This window comes from Homo sapiens, chromosome 11, assembly GCF_000001405.40.
Source record: "Homo sapiens chromosome 11, GRCh38.p14 Primary Assembly".
NCBI classification, from domain to species: domain Eukaryota; kingdom Metazoa; phylum Chordata; class Mammalia; order Primates; family Hominidae; genus Homo; species Homo sapiens.
Genome location: NC_000011.10, coordinates 94,999,520 through 95,017,276, shown reverse-complemented (window position 1 = coordinate 95,017,276; position 17,757 = coordinate 94,999,520). Strand labels below are relative to the sequence as shown.

Sequence of the window (17,757 nt, the reverse complement as noted above, 5' to 3'; positions counted from 1 at the left end):
GGGGGCAATTAAGGAAGGCTAGTATTAAGGGGAGGGGTGGCTTGCTATAATTTTAATTTACAAAATATATGTGAGTTTGTCCATTTCTGTGCATTATCTTCTTTTTTTTTTTTTTTTCCTAAGACAGAGTCGTGCTCTGTCGCCCAGGCTGGAGTGCAGTGGTGTGATCTCAGCTCACTGCAACCTCTGCCTTCTAGGTTCAAGCAATTCTTCTGCCTCAGCCTCCCAAGTAGCTGGGACTACAAGCGTGCACCACAATGCCCAGCTAATTTTTGTATTTTTAGTGGAGATAGGGTTTCACCATGTTGATCAGGCTGGTCTCAAACTCCTGACCTCAAGTTATCTGCCCACCTTAGCCTCCCAAAGTGCTGGGATTACAGGCATGAGCCACTGCGCCTGGCCACTGCTGTGCATTTTCAATGTTAACATAAATCTAAGCAACTGTCACTCTCACTTGTGTTATTTAGATGGTGTAACTGCTTCTTCTGCTTACACACTCTCCACAGAGCAACCAAGCTGATTATTTAAATGTATAAATCACATTTCGTCAACTGCTGTTTAAAACTTCCAGTGCCTTCTCATTTCAAGTTGAACACACACCAAATAATGTACTTCACATGAGACTCAGGGCCCTACATGCTTTGCCCCCTGTCTCTCTCCCTCTCTCCCTCTTTCTGTCTATGCCCCTGTCTATGCCCCAGGCACAAATGAGCTTCTTTGTATTCCTGGAAAAACAAAATCACTAAGTTCCATGGTAGGTCTGTTGCACTTGCTGTTCCCTGAAGGTGGGAAACTCTACCCTGGACCTCCCAATTTTGTCAGTTTGATCCCAAAAAGGTTTCTTGTTTGGTGAAGACTTCCAGGACCTGCAATTCCATCAGCCCCTCCCTATTCTGCTCTGTCATCCAGTCCTGCTTTAAGTTTCTGCACAGCACACATTCCTGATTGAAACTGTCTTGTTCACTTACTGGGGACTTGTTTATTGGGCTGAGTCAATGAATTAACAATGTCAAATAGACCTATAGCTTCGAAACGCCAGTGGAGTTTGGCTATTTTGGCTTATGTTTCCCTCTTATCTAAACTTGCTCAACAGAGAATTTTAAACTTTCAGGGAAAGTGCATCTTTATATTTTCAGAGTTTTTGAATCAATTTCTAGTTTTATTTCATGGTAATTATACTGCATGTTCTCACTTATAAGTGGGAGCTAAATTATGAGAACTCATAGACACAAAGAAGGGAACAACAGACCCTGGGGTCTACTTGAGGGTGGAGGGTGTAGGAAGAGGGAGAGGAGCAAATATATATATATATATATATATATATATATATATATACACACACACACACACACATATATATATATACACACATATATACACACACATACATACACACATATACACATATATATACACATATATATACACACATATATACACATATATATACACATATATATACACATACATATACACATATATATACACATATATATACACATATATATACACACATATATATACACACACATATATATAGTACTAAGCTTAGTACCTAGGTGTTTAAATAATCTGTACAACAAACCCCCATAACATGAGTTTACCTATATAAAAAAGCTGCACATGTACCCTTGAACCTAAAATGAAAGTTTTGTTTTTTTTTCTAAAAAGAATGTTTGGCCAGGTGCGGTGGCTCATGCCTGTAATCCCAGCACTCTGGGGGTTCAAGACAGGCAGATCACCTGAGGTCAGGAGTTCGAGACCAGCCTGGGCAAATGGCGAAATTCCATCTCTGCTAAAAATACAAAAATTAGCTGGGCATAGTGGCACGCACCTGTAGTCCCAGCATTTTGGGAGGCCGAGATGGGCAGTTCACCTGAAGTCAGGAGTTCGAGACCAGCCTGGCCAACATGGTGAAACCCTGTTTGTTCTAAAACTACAAAAAATTAGCTGGGCGTGGTGGCACATGCCTGTAATCCCAGCTACTCACTCGGGAGCCTGAGGCAGGAGAATTGCTTGAACTGGGAGGCAGAAGTTGCAGTGAGCTGAGATTGTACCACTGCACTCCAGCCTGGGTGACAGAACGAGATCCTGTCTCAAAAAATATATATATTTTCTTATTCTTTTGAAATTATAAGTTATTCATGTTTTCTTTTAACCCTAATATATTGTCAAATGTTGTGAATTATCCATTGGTACTTGAAAATAAGGGGATATTCTCTATTACTGGGTACATAATTCTACCTTATGGTTAATGTTGTTTGTTTTCTATATCCCTACATTTGTCCTTTTTTTCTGTCTTCAGTACAGTAAAGTTACTTAAATTCTTCTGTTTTAAAAGTACTACTCAAACTTGTCTTATAGAAACTGCAATTTATACTTAATGAAACTCACATGGGTTCTAGGCTGGATCTCAAATTTCTGGCCTAAATCTGTACCATAAAAAGGAGAGCCCTATACCATAAAAGAGAAAAGAAATAATACTTTACCAGAACTTTCTTTTCCAACTGTGGTAAATTCCACTTTGGACCCTGCAGCCCATGCCCGCCCCTCCTGTTTTCCCCCTAGAAAGACAAGCCCAGCACGGAAAGCTCCGTGGGTAACCGTCTCCCAAGCACTGCTCGAGCCCAGCACAGGGGCCTTGGACACCCGCCTCTGGATTCTCTGTGCAAGCGCTCACCCTATGTGGATTCAGTCAGGACTTTGGCAGCCTCTGAGACCAGAAGGCCATGAAGAAGGAAGCCCACTAGAAGCAGTGCCCACTACCCACCCACGCTCACTCTGACAGAAGCACACAAGCTTTGCACTGCCCGTCCTGTGCCAGGTAAAGGGATCCCGTGAGCTTCAGTGCATGTACAGTGCTGGCTGTGAGTTTGGCAAGAGCTTCCTGGCTTCACACAGCCACCTGGTCACCATGCCCAGCTTCCCACAGAGCCATGTTGTGCCCATAGTGAGTTACTGCCAGCAGGAATAAAAAGATATGGAGCACAACTCTCCCCAAACTCTGCAGATTATGTGAAGACTGAAAACGCTGTTTCAAAGCCAAGGAGACATCCGTGATAAGGGGATACTGAGAGAAACTTTAGACTCCTAAACCTGGGACTTAGGATAGAACTGAGAGATCCATGAATTCCCTGAAATAGTAATAGATGCTGGTGTGCATATATTTGGTATGCAGCTGTCAGTAGTCTCTTAAAATTCAGGAGAAGTGACACAAGTTTTAATCTAAAATTTTAATTAAATTTAATTACAATTTTTGAATTTCAGATGACATTAAAAACTGATTTACTGCAGGTATTTAATCAGATCTCCAATCAAGGCAGACGCACAGGGGTATTAATGATGTTCAATGAAGAATGTGTAACCTACTCTAAAAGGTGATTAAATGGTTTTACCAGGGACACATGAAGATATGTTTACACCAGTGTTCATAACAGCACCATGCACAGAGCCAAAAGGTGGAAACCACATAAGTGTTCATCAGTGGAAGAACTGATCAACAAAATGTGGTATATACCTACAGTGGAATATTATTCAGCCTTGAAAAGGAAGGAAATCTGACACATGCTGCAACGTAGTTGAACCTGGAGGACATCATGCTAAGTCAAATAAGCTAGACATGAAAGGACAAATATTGTATCATTGCACTTACATGAGGTACCTAAAATACTGAAATTATTAGAGAAATAAAACAAGGGATACCAGCAGCCAGGGCAGGCTATAATGAGGTGTTACTGTTTAATGGGTAGAGTACTAGTCTGTGATGATGAAAACGTTCTGGAGATAGAAGGTGTTGATGGTTGTACAACGATGGGAATGTCCTTAAAGCAGCTAAACTATACACTTAAAATGGTGAAAATTGTAATTTATACATGTATACTATACCAAAACAAAAATAATTAAAAGTTTAATGGAAGAAAAAGTTGCATGGCTATTTATAAAGGCTGTATTTTCATTGTGAAATTTAGCCTTTAGTATTATAAAGAGTCCTTCTATGTCCCTTTGGTCTACATTTGTTTGATATTAAGATCTACCACCTCTGTTTCCTTTTGCTTTTGCATTTTCCTTGGTACAGTTTCCCCCATTCTTTTAGTTTTCAATTTTTCTGAATCACTTAGTTTTAGATATATCTCTTTTATAATTGTGATTTTAAAATATGTTTTCAGGATTTTCCTTTTTTTACATGTCAGATACACACTAGGAGTGTCAAATTTAACAAACAGGAGGCAGCATTTGGTAACCTTGAAAATGTGTCAGTTCTTGAAGGTCGAAGAATCTAATACACAGGTCCAGACCCGAACTGTGCTTGGCTGGGAGCCTTCTGTGGCTTCTGTAGTTGAGGTCAGAGGGGCAGCCACATTTGGCAACATATTCAACAGTCATGGGTTCAGATGATTGAGATCTTGCATTGAAGGCAAATATCTCCAAATTCTGAGGTGCAGCTCTGTCTACCTTTAGCACCAGGAGATGAGTCAGGGGCTTAGGAGATTCTGGCAACCTCAGTAGGGGCCAGGATCCTAGAGGCATGAGTGGTCCATTGCTTCAGTCTCATCCAGATTCACAGGGGCTGTGCAATCTGGAGCAGCATCCCTGCAGAACTTATTCAAAGACACAATGACATTGGGAGGAGTCAGGGGAACAATGTCAGAGAGATTCTGAGTGGTGCTACCCTGGGTTAGCAGGCATAGGGGCCAGGGTGCATGGGTTCATCATGATTCAGTGGGGACCCCAAGGGTTGATGATCAGGGGCACAGCAGCACCCAGAAGCCTTGGCAAGATGCTGAAGCCCCAAGTTCAAAGGTGCAACTTTGTCCATCAAAGCTTCATCTGTATACAGCGGATGAGGCTCAGGGCCCAGAACTAAGTGCACTGTGCCCACCAAGAGGGGCCTCCTGGCCTAAGCCAGAATGGTCGGCTCCTGAGCCCCCAGTTCCAGAGCACAACGACTATGACCACGACCATGTCTGCCAGTTTGGGGATGAAGATCTGGGGTGGACAGAATGAGGGTCAGCAATGGGATCCAGCCAGGCTTCTGGGAGCTGCAGGTCATGGTGACCTCGCTATGGGAAGCAGCCCCTAGGGCCACTGAAGGACGGAGGCGTGGAGAGCACATAACGGCACCCACGGCCACAGGCAAACTGGGGCTTTGAGCTCAGTGAAGAGGGAGATGCCTCAGGCCTAACACGGCTCTCCTGGTCAACTGGGCCTCCCTCTAGGTGCTCAGCTGCTGGCTGTCTAGTGCCCTGGGCTCCATGTGGTCCACAATTGCCTGGTCTTGCCTGTGTTTCCGCAGCTCATAGGGCTCGGTTTACAGGATGTGCACAAAGACGTCCATGGGAAAAAGTCACCCTCGTCCCCTGGCAGCCACACTGGAGGCCACTTTGCTGTAATCGATCCATAGCAGGGTCACGAAACTGATGTCCTTCACCCAAGGGCTAGTTTCCTGATTTGACTTATAAAGGTCCTTTTTTAAAAAGCAATTTTAAAACAGAGTTAACTAAGAGGCTGAAAATTAAGAGGTTGAAAAAGGCACAACAGGACAAATATTAAAAAAAGAAACCTGGGATAGCAATGTATTTATAGGATCAAAGTGGCACATTTTATAACTATCAAAAAGAAAACTTCACTAGAAACATATTACAGTGATGAACATCATACACCTAACCATATGGCATTGAGTCATAGAAAGTGAATCCTGAGAATTACAAGGTAAAACTGATGATTCTGCAATTATGGCAGGAGTTTTGATTTTTCTTTAACACCATTCTCTCTGAAAGTGACAAAGGAGAGAAGAAAATTAATAATGCTATAAGAGTTTGAACAAACTTAACAACTTTGATCATATGACTCACCACCACCATAAAGCAAAGAGAAATGCTTTACAACAGATATAAAACATTTACAAAAATTTAGCAATTCGGGGTACAAAATAAATATCAATTAAAATTCCATACAATCAGTATATTGAGCACAATCTTGACCACAATTAAATATAATTTAAAGTCAGCAAAAAGGAGTTGAACCCAACCATATTTATTTCAAAATTAATATCCGTGTTTGTAAAAGTCTATTCATCTCGATGCTCAACTCAGCAGTTAGTAAAAACCAAAACCAAAAAAAACAGAATTAGGCAATAAAAATGAAAGATTAAAATAATGACAGAATGATAAACAAAAGAGAAAACAAAGATACACAAAAAAAGAGATGATTAAGGTACTGAAATCTGATGCCTTTAAAGAAAAATAAAATAAAGAATTGGCAATACTGATGGAGAAAAAGAAATTTCTAGACCGAGGAAAGGAAATGTACTGGACAAGTCTGGGATATCTTGAAGTGCTTGAAAACAAGGATGTTTTAAATACAAGCAAACAAAAACCTTGATGGGGGTACGGCAACGGGGCACAGGAATGAACAGAAACAGCTCCCAATGGCCAAAGCTTGAAGAAACTTAGCAAAAAAAAAAAAAAAAGTCATCTTGAATTATAATCAAAAGTACAAAATAAATATCTATGAGTTCATACTGATATAAATGATTGAATAAATTGACAAATTGAAGAAAAGAGACAAATCTATCTTGTAGCAGAATTCCAAATAAATTATATAAATGCTATACCCTAAATAATAGGGAGAATAATACCCTGCTCCTTTTTAAATTGTTTTCTTCAAATGACATATAAAAATTGTGTATATTGATGGTGTGCAACATGACAGTTTGATATGTGTATACACTGTGGAATAAGTCAATAAAGCTAATTAACATATGCATTATCTCACATATCTTTTATAGTGAGAGCACAAATCTACCCTCTTAGCAATTGTAAAGTGCACAATACATTATGATTAACTATAGTCACCATGCTGTATAATAAATCTCCAGAACCTGCTCCTCTCAAACTAAAATTTTGTACCCATTGACGAACATCTCCTCAATGTTCCCACCCTTCAGCTTCTGATAACTACTATTAAACTCTCTGCTTCTATGAGTTTGACTCTTTGCTCCCACATATAAATGAGTTCACGCAGTATTTGTTCTCCTGTGTGACTTATTTAACTTAGCATAATGTCTTTCAGGTTCATTGATGTTGTTGCAAATGACAGGATTTCAATCTTTTTAAGGCTGAATAGAATTCTATTTTATACATATGCCACAGTTTCTTTATCCATTCATTCATCCACTGAGAGACACAGGTTGACACCATATCTTGGCTATTGTGAAAAATGCTGCAATGAAAATGAACATAGGTGTGCCGTTATCTCTTCAACGTGCTGCTTTCATTTCCTTTGGATATATACCTGTCAAATAAAATTCTAAGAGGATTTGGACTGGGCTCCTGCACAAGACTCAACAGACCAAACCAATATAGAGTTTTATCATGATAGCTGAGCTTCAGTTAATCACAGAAGGTTCTGTAACCAATTAACCAACTAAGTTATAACTAATTAAGTTGTCTCTATACCTCACTTCTGTTTAAATGCTGCCAGATCACTTTTTTGGCCAGAGTCCTCTGAACCTGTTTTGGTTTTGGGGGCTGTCCAATTTGAGAATTGTTTTTTGTATTGTTTTATTTTGTTTTACTCAAATAAACTCCGGTAAATTTAAGTCTAAGGGTTTTTTTTCTTTTAACAGATTGGCGTGGTCAGCGGGATCTGAAGCAGAACTCCAGTGATTGCCAGGGGCACTGGGTAACCAGGTATAGTTACCTGCACTGTGCTTATTTTTTCCTTGCTGCATCTGGGGCTCATGAGTAAGTTCTCTCTTGGATTCCAAAGCTCCACAGATTTGTGCTTTGAGCTATCTTTGAGCAAAGTTTTGATCTGGACTAGATTTGGAAGTTGATTCTAGAATCATGAATAAAGGATCTTTCTTTTTGCCTTGAGCCCAAATCCGAGGTTAATTTGTGCTATGAGAGAGCACGTGAACTTGAGCTGGGTACCAAGGATTATCTTGTGCTGTAAGAAGGCATATAACCTTTGGGGTTTGCAGTGTCTAGATCAGACAGAAACTGGACTACAAGATAGGGAGTTCATTTGGATTAAGGAGTCTAGAACTCTCTGTCCTAGCAGACCAGGAATCATGAGTTCATATGAATCTAAAAAGTCAAGAATTCCTCCATCTGTAACTCCAGTTAATTTTATATACAGTACAAGAATGCTTTTATAGATAAATGGATGAACCTTACCAAAGGTAAGTTAGGGTTACTGTGGCCACAGTGGGGAAGTTTTAATTCAGATAAAGTTTTTCAATTTTGAGGCACATTAGAAAAGCAAAGGTTAATTTCAAAAGGTACAGAAAAAGCATTAAATAAAATTCAACATCCCAAGGCCATATATGACAAAGCCACAGATAGCATCATACTTAATGGGAAAAAGCTAAAAGCCTTTTCTCTAAGATCTGGAACAAGACAAGGATGCCCACTTCCACCACTTTTATTCTTTATAGTACTAGAAATCCTAGTTACAGCTATTAGACAAGAATAAGAAATAAAGGGCATTTGTATTGGAGAGGAAGAAGTCAAATAGTCCTTGTTTCCAGATTATATACTCTTTTATTTAGAAGAAACTAAAGACCACCAAAAAACTGTTTGAATTGACAAATGAATTCAATAAAGTTCCAGGATACAAAATCAACGTGCAAAAATCAGTAGCATTTCTATACGCTAACTGCAAACAATCTGAAAAAGAAATCAAGAAAACAGTTCCATTTACAATAGCTGCAAAAAATAAAATAAAATACCTAGGGATAAATTTAACCAAAGAAGTGACAGATCGCTACAATTAAAACTATAAAACACTGATAAAAAAATACAGGACACAAAAAATGGAAAGATATTTCATGTTCATGGATTAGAATAATTAATATTACTAAAATGTCCATGCTACCCAAAGGGATCTACAGCTTTACTGCAATCCCTTTCAAAATACCAGTGATATTCTTCAGAGAAATAGAAAAAAAATCCTAAAATTTATATGGAGCCACAAAAGACACCCAATAGTCAAAGCAATTCTGAGCAAAAAGAACAAAGCTGGAGGCATCACATTTCTTGACTTCAAAATATACTACAAAGGGATAGTAACCAAAACAGCATGGTACTGGTATAAAAACAGACATACAAACGAATAGAACACAATAGAGAATGCAGAAATAAATTTATGCACTTACAGCCAGCTCATTTTCAACAAAGGCAATAAGAATGTGCATTGGAGAAAGAACACACTCTTCAATAAATGGTGCTGGGAAAACTGGATATCCAAAAGTGGAAGATTGAAATTATGCCCCATCTCTCACCATACACAAAAATCAAATCAAAATGGATTAAAGACTTAAATGTGTGACCTGAAACTATAAAACTACTAGAAAAAAATTGGAGAAATACTTTGGAACATTGGTCTGGGCAAAAATTTCCTGAGTAAGATCTTAAAAGCACAAGCAACTAAAGCAAAAGTAGACAAATGAGGTTATATCAAATTAAAAAGCTCCTGCATAGGAAAGGAAACAATTAACAAACTGAAGAGACACCCTGTTGAATTTAATTGAGTGCTTTTCTGTATCTTTTGAAATTAATCCTACAGAATGGGAGAAAAGATTTGCAAACTATTGGGCATTTTTATTTATTTCATTGGCATCTAAAAGATTAAATGTATCAAAAGTTGCCTCCTTACAAAAGGCAAACAGGTGCATGTTTTTACAGCTTCAATAGCTACAGTGTCCAAGAGGGTTCTTGTACATATTTTGAACCAAAACCAAGGATTTCTAAACTAAAAAATCCCTGTGCCCTGGTATGTGTGACTTTATTGTAAACAGTCATGCCACTGGAAAAGAAAGTGTCTACTTTATCCACTCATTTTGGCCTGGATTTCCCCTCTAAATTTCCCCTCTAAAGGAAACTCCTAAAGATTTTGCTGCTGGGGCAATAATCAACTTATTTAATTAGTCCTCTCTGCTTTTACTTCTCTATTTGCTCCCGCTTCTCCCATAGGAACCTTTTCTCTAGTTGATCCTGCTTCTCCCATGGGAACCTCTTAGTCAACTAAAATCTCTCTTCTCAGTCCCCTGCTGACTATATGCACTGCCAACGATCTGTGTTGTAATGATCTTTGCTCTGCACCTCCAAACTCTTTCTTGGTTGTAAGAAAAATTTAAAAAGTATATCTCCATTTGTAAGGGAGTCTCCTTCTCTGCACCTGAAGGAGAAGGACGATTAAATCACTGGAAGCTTTTTAGAATGGAGAAGTCAAAGACTTAGGTCTGTGTAAGGAGTCTCACCTTTGACCATTTTGTCCTAACTAGGCTTCCTATATGCTTTTCTTTTTCTCAAGAGGTAATGGTGTTTAGGCCTGAAATCTGATGCAATGACAACCTAACCAACAATAATTAGGCTCATCAGTCAAGGAAATTACAAGGACCCTTTGACTAAAGTCTTTTGCTGAAATGAATAAAACGCTCAGGGGTTGAAGAAAATATCCTCAGATAAATAGATTTTGAGAAAGATGAATAGACCCTTAGAAGGATAGATGATGGTTTGTAACAAGGTCTGTCTGGGTGTGGTGAAGTCTCCTTTCCCGCAATGAGTTAATTTTCAGAGGATTAATGACAATTGAGTTTCTTTTGTAAAAGCTATCTTAAGGCAGATGGAGGGACCCTCAGAGAGCCTTGCATCTTGTGTTTTTCAAGTTCCTGCAGCTCAAAATAATCACTATAATAAAGCAATATATTTTTAGGGTAGCATTACCTAAATTTCTTCAATGCTGGCTTTGTTTAATGAGCAATTTAAGCATAATTGTTTAGAATGAGTAAATTAGGAGGAGTATAAATGGGATGGAAGTTTGTGGATGAACTTGACATGGTTTCTGAGCCCTTTTAAAGTAAATTAAAATGCTGAAATATGCTGCTCAACCATTCTGATTTTGTGTTTTGGAAGAAGGGTCTCCGATGAAGAGAGGATAAATGTGATACTGACTAGTGGGGAATTTCTCAATTAGCTTTAATGATTGGGGTAGGCTACTAGAAATTGTAATGAAGAGAAAATAACCGTTCACTGCTTTCATTCAGAAAATATGGAATGTGTCTTAACTAGTTGGAAAACACTGAGTAATGAAATGATGAGCTGGTTGAGGCTGATAATCAATGCATGGCCATATTCATTTATTTAACTGATATTTGACCATTTAGTATGTGTAACATCCTACCAGGGCCAGGGAAGTAATGGCAAACAAGGTAGATGTAGTTTCTTCCATCATGCAGTGTCACAGAAGAACTAGATGTACACATGTACGCAGTATAAGTCAGAAAATTAATCATTTTTTAAGTGCTATGAAGAAAAAGTATTATTCACTCCCTGTGTTCTGTGTTAGTATCTGCAAATAGATGAATGGTTGAATTGAACTCATGTCAGCCATTTTTGTTGTCATTTATCTGTCATAGTGTCATTTATTAGACATAGTGCTATGACACTATGTCATTTATTAGACATAGTGCTAGTATCACAGGTTAATGTTTGAAAATAGATAAATTCTGCTAGTGATACATCTTTTTATATGATGTAAAGAAGCTAGGTGTATCTGGGCATTAATAAACATAAAAGGGATTGTATTATGAGGAAACATTTTTCTAAAATTATGAAATGGGCTTCATCTACAAAATGCTGATATAAAACAGTTCAAAATTGCTCACTCTGGCTGGACATGATGGCTCATGCCTGTAATCCCTGAATTTGGGGAGGCAGACGCAGGAGGATTGCTACATAGCGAGACTCCATCTCTACAAATGTAAAAAATTAGCTGGGTGTGATGGGAGTAGTCCCAGCTACTCAGTAGGCTGAGGTGGGAGGATCACTTGAGCCCAGGAGGTTGAGGCTTCAGTGAACTATGATTGGGTCACTGCACTCTAGCCTGGGTGACAGAGCAAGACAAAAAAAAGAAAGAAGGAAAGGAAAGGAAAGGAAAAAGGAGAATGCTTACTCCCTAAGTTTTCACTAGAAACTAAAGTTACTAAGAGTTAAAATTCTAATTAACATTGGGAGGCCAAGGCAGGTGGAACACTTGATGTCAGGAGTTCAAGACCAGCCTGGCCAACATGGTGAAACCCTGTCTCTACTAAGAATAATAAAAAAAAAAATTAGCTGGGCATGGTGGTGCATGCCTGTAATCCCAGCTACTTGGGAGGCTGAGGCAGGAGAATTGCTTGAACTCAGGAGGCGGAGGTTGCAGTGAGCCAAAACCGTGCCACTGCACTCCAGCCCGGGTGACAGAGTGAGATTCTGTCTCAAAAAAACAAACAAACAAACAAACAAACAAACAAACAAAAACTAACATATGGTAATTAGAACTAGAAATAATCATGCCTTATCTGAAGAAAGTAAGACATGTAAGTGAAGCTGTAAGTCATAAAAGATGTGTTCTTGTCCAGGAAAAGAGTAATTATGTCTAGTTTGGAAGTTGTTTAAAGCTTGTTTCAGAATGAATAAAGGAAGGAAGGAAAGATAGAGATAAAGTCGAATGCATAAGAAGCCTGCAGAAGATGAATCTTGTGAAAGGAATTTTATAAGTAATCAAGCTGGCTACAATTAGAAGGGAATTATTTATAAGTTTTTCTAATAATTGAGCATTAATATCAAAAGTACATGAATGAAAAACTGGAATTTGGTTCCTGTGTTAAAGTTTTTGTCAGCATATTGATCTGCTCTGAATAAAAAATCGTGAGAAGTTTCATTTACATTTTAGGAAACTGGCCTAGGTAAACAAAGATTCTATGTTTACCAAGATAATTTCTTCTGATTCATGTTATTTGGTTTTCAGTCACTTAAGAAAACAGTTTTCTCTTAACAGAGCTGAGATTTTTCTGTGACTGTGTAGCTTTCTGTATTTGTCTTTGAAATATTTTGTAATTTTTGTTAAAAGAATGACTATTATTCACAGTGGCCTGTGTCTTCATTTTTATCAAGTGTTTTAAATTTTGAGATTTTTGAAAAACTTCCCAAAATTAAATTTTAAATTGTAAGTTTTTTGACTTTGAATTGACTTTGTTGCATTCCAGAAGGGCCCCTGAAATATCTGAAAGAGATATATTAAACTAATTAGGATTATTTGATATATTAAACTTTATGGAAAGCATTTTCAAATAGTAAGTGATGCTAGACCTTCTTTGAGTTATATTTGTATGGATGTTATTCATATGTATTTCAGAAATAGTATAAAATTTATATAAATCTGATCATCCTGGATGCTGTCAGTCATAATTGTAGTTATTATCTTAAGATGTTGTATACAACAGAAATAATGGAATTTCCTTGTCAATTGCATCATTATTGTAATGAACTCTCATCAGATCTTTATTTATGGACATTTCAAGTCTTGTCATGCAAAAACCTCATCCCACACTACTGTGGATGTTTGTTGCCTCAAGCCTTTGGTCTTCATTTCATAACTCAGGAGAATCCTTCCAGACTTCTTGAACTGTATACTTGTTGGAGACTTTAAGGTAAAGCTGACTAGGGACAAGCTTCCCCAGAAGTAGACAGCATCTTAGATGTGAACAGCCTTTCCCAAAATGCAAGAACAAGACTAATCATAACAAGACTCTTACTTTTCTTAATTTTTTCTTCATTATGGCTACCTCTTTTCCTTAGTAGGACAATACTGTAATCAGACTTCTAGACTCACTTGGTCTCACTCTGTTTTAATTTAACCAATTCATGGGATGCTAGAATACATACTAGCTGAACAAGGAGGAGTTTGTCTAGTTGCTAATACTTTTTGTTGCTTGTGAACAAATACTTTGAGCATTGTAGGGACTCAGTTACCAAAAATATTAATGAACAGGCTATTAGGCTAAAATGAATAGACTAATCTGGCTCATTCTTTGGGTAATCAATTTTGATTGGCTTGGTTGATGAGGACCCTGGCTAAGGAACATACTTCAAATTTTTGGTATTATTCTCCTAAAAGTCACAATAGTCTCCCTCACGAACTGCATTTTCTCAAAAAGTCTCAATTGTCTACACTCAGCCATCTGATGAATGCTAAATGGTTTCCCTTCAGCCTGAAATGACAAAAACTTAAATAAATGTATGATTATGCGGACACCATAACCTATGAATGACATGTTGAGACCAGAAACCCAAGACAATGGTGACTGAGAGTAGCACCAATTCCCCTAATTTTGGTCACACTTCAGTTGCTAAGAGCATGACCAAAAGAGGGAAATTGTTAAGCAAAATTGTAAAAGGCCATTGATTTAGACTCAGCTCCTGCATTCAGCTCAACAGTCCAAACCAATATAGAGTTTAATCATAGTAGCTGTATTTCAATTAATTGTAGGAGGTTCTGTAACCAATAAACCAATGAAGCTGTGACCAATTAAATTGTCCCTAGACCTCACTAACATTTTTTATAAATGCTGCCAGATCACCTTGTTGGCCGGAGTACCCTGAACCTGTTTTGGCTCTGGGGACTGCCTGACTCAAGGGTTGTTTTTTGCTTTGTTCAAATAAACTATGTTAAACGTAAAAGTCTAAGGCTTTTTCCTTTTAACACCTGGTAGTGGGATTGCTGGTAGTTCTATTTATTAAAATTTTTTATTTATATTTAAGATATAAAACATGCTTTTACAGAACATATATAGGCAATAAAAAGGTTACTACAGTGAAGGAAATCAACATATCCATCATCTCACATGCCCATTGTTTCATTGTTTTGTGTTTTTGTGGCTAGAGTAGTTGAAATCTACTCATTTAGCATGAATCTAGCACTATTTATTTATTTATTTTGCAGAGAGGGGATCTCATTATGTTACCCAAGCAGGTCTTGAACTCCTGTGCTCAAACAATCCTTCTGCCTTGACCTCCCAAAGCACTGGGATTACAGGCCTCTGCAACCACATCTGGCAGGACAATTTTATTATCTATAGTCTTCATGTGATACATGAAATCTCTCAACTTGTTCATCCTATATATGTTACCTTTTATCCTCTGATCATTTCCTCATTTTTCCTCCATCCCACACTCCTGCTATTGGTGACCACTATTTTATTCTCTATCCCCGTATATTTGAATTTTTCTTTTTTTTTTTTAACATTCCACAAATGAGATCATGCAATATTTTTCTTTCTGTGTCTGGCTTATGTCACTTAGCATAACATCCTCCAGGCTCATCCACATTGTGGCAAATGGCAAGATTTTATTCATTTTTAGCACTGAAAAATATTCCATAGTGTCTATGTATCAGGATTTATTGGCTGAGCATGGTGGCTCACACCTGTAACCCCAGCACTTTGGTAGGCCGAGGCGGGCCAATCACTTGAGGTCAGAAGTTCAAGACCAGCCTGGCCCACATGGTGAAACCCCATCTCTACTAAAAATAGAAAAATTAGCTGGGCGTGGTGGCGCAGGCCTATAATCCCAGCTACTCAGGAGGCTGAGGCTGGAGGATCCCTTGAGCATGGGAAGTAGAGCTTGCAGTGAGCTGAGATGGTGACACTGCACTCCAGCCAGGGTGACAGAGCGAGACTCCATCTTAAAAAGAAAAAACTTTATCCATTCATCAGTCAACAGCCAGGCTGTTTCCGTATCTTGGCTACTGTGAAGAGTGCCGCAATGAACATAGAAATGCAGATATCTTTACAAGGTGAGGATTTCATTTCCTTTGGGTATATGCCCAGGAGAGGGATTCATGAGTTGTATGATAGGTTTCTTTTTAATTTCTTTTGGAAACCTTCATACTGTTTTCTGTAATGGCTGTACTAATCTATATTCCCATCAACAGTGTATAAGAGTTCCCTCTTCTCCATACCATTGTCAACATTTGCTGTCTTTTTTGACTTTTTGATAATAGCCAACCTAACAGGTGTGAAGGGGTATCTCAAAGTGGTTTGATGTGCATTTCCCTGGTTAATGATGCTGAGCACCTTTTAATATACTTGTTGGCTATTTTAATGTTTCCTTTGGACAAACATCTATTCAGGTCTTACATGTGCACATTTATAGCAGCACAAATTGCAATTGCAAAAATGTGGAACCAATGCAAATGCCCATCAATCAATGAGTGGATAAACAAACTGTGGTATATATATATATATACATTGTGTGTGTGTATATATATATATATATATATATATATACACACACACAATGGAATACTACTCACCCATAAAAAGGAATGAGTTAACAGCATTCACAACAACCTGGATGGGATTAGAGACTATTATTCTAAGTGAAGTAACTCAGGAATGGGAAACCAAACATCAGATGTTCTCACTCATAAGTGAGAGCTAAGCTATGAGGATGCAAAGGCATAAGAATGACACAATGGATGTTGGGGACTCAAGGGCAAAGGGTGGGAAGGGGGTGAGGGATAAAAGACTAAAAATTGGGTGCAGTGTATACTGCTTGAGTGATGGGTGCACCAAAATCTCACAAATCACCACTAAAAAACTCATGTAACCAAACACCACCTATTTCCCAATTACCTATGGAAATAAAAAATTTAAAAATATAAATAAATCAAATTAAAAATCTGTACCACACCAAAAAAAGGAAGTTTTCCCCGTTTTCTTCTAGTAGTTTTACAGTTTCTGGTATTATGTTTTAACTCTTTCAACTATTTAGAGTTGATATCTGTATATGGTGTGAGATGAGGATTTAATTTCATTCTTCCCCATGTGGATTATCCAGTTTTCCCAGAACCATTCACTGAAGAGATTGTCCTTTCCCCACTGTGTGTTCTTGGCACCTTTAACAAGATCAAGTGACCATAAATGCATGGGTTTACTTCTTGGCTCATTACGCTGTTCCATTGGTCTATGTGTCTGTTTTTATGCCACTGCCATGCTGTTTTGATACTACAGATTTGTAGTAGATTTTGCAATAAAGTACTATGATGCCTCCAGCTTTGTGTTGGAGGTGGGGCCTGGTGGGAGGTACTTGGATCATGGGATTGGGTTTCTCATGAATGGTTTACCATCATCCCTCCTTGGTACTGTCCTTGCAATAGTAAGTGAGTTCTCATGAGACCTGGTCATTTAAAAATGTGTGGCACCACCCCCCTCTCTCTTTCTCCTGCTCCAACCACATGAGGTGCCTGCTTCCACTTCGCCTTCTGCCATGATTTTTTTTTTTTTAAGACAGAGTCTCACTCTGTCGCCCAGGCTGGAGTCCAGTGGCGCCATCTCAGCTCACTGCAAGCTCCGCCTCCCGGGTTCACGCCATTCTCCTGCCTCAGCCTCCTGAGTAGCTGGGACTACAGGCGCCTGCCACCACACCCGGCTAATTTTTTTGTATTTTTAGTAGAGACGGGGTTTCGCCATGTTAGCCAGTATGGTCTCGATCTTCTGACCTCGTGATCTGCCCACCTCGGCCTCCCAAAGTGCTGGGATTACAGGCCTGAGCCACCGCGCCTGGCCACCTTCTGCCATGATTCTAAGTTTCCTGAGGCTTCCCCAGAAGCTGAGCAGATGCCGGCATCATGCTTCTCATATAGCCTGTGAAACTGTAAGGCAATTAAACCTGTTTTATTTATAAATTACCCAGTTTCAGGTATTTCTTTACAGCAATGCAAGGACAGACAAATCCACCATCCTCGAAGCATGACTGCAACCCAGCCCCCCTACCCAGCCAGACAGCCATAATGCGACAACCATCCCCTGAGCTCATTCACCACCACACAATGCCATAAATGTTTTCAAATAATTATGAAGTACATAAAGAATAATCTACACACACACACATACACACACAGGTTGAAAACACAATATTTGAAATAAAA

The 17,757-nt window shown here is 38.6% G+C and overlaps 1 pseudogene; it reads right to left on the bottom strand.

Moving 5' to 3' along the window:
* LOC100420801 (lysine demethylase 4D pseudogene) lies at nt 4,745-5,419 on the bottom strand (annotated as a pseudogene).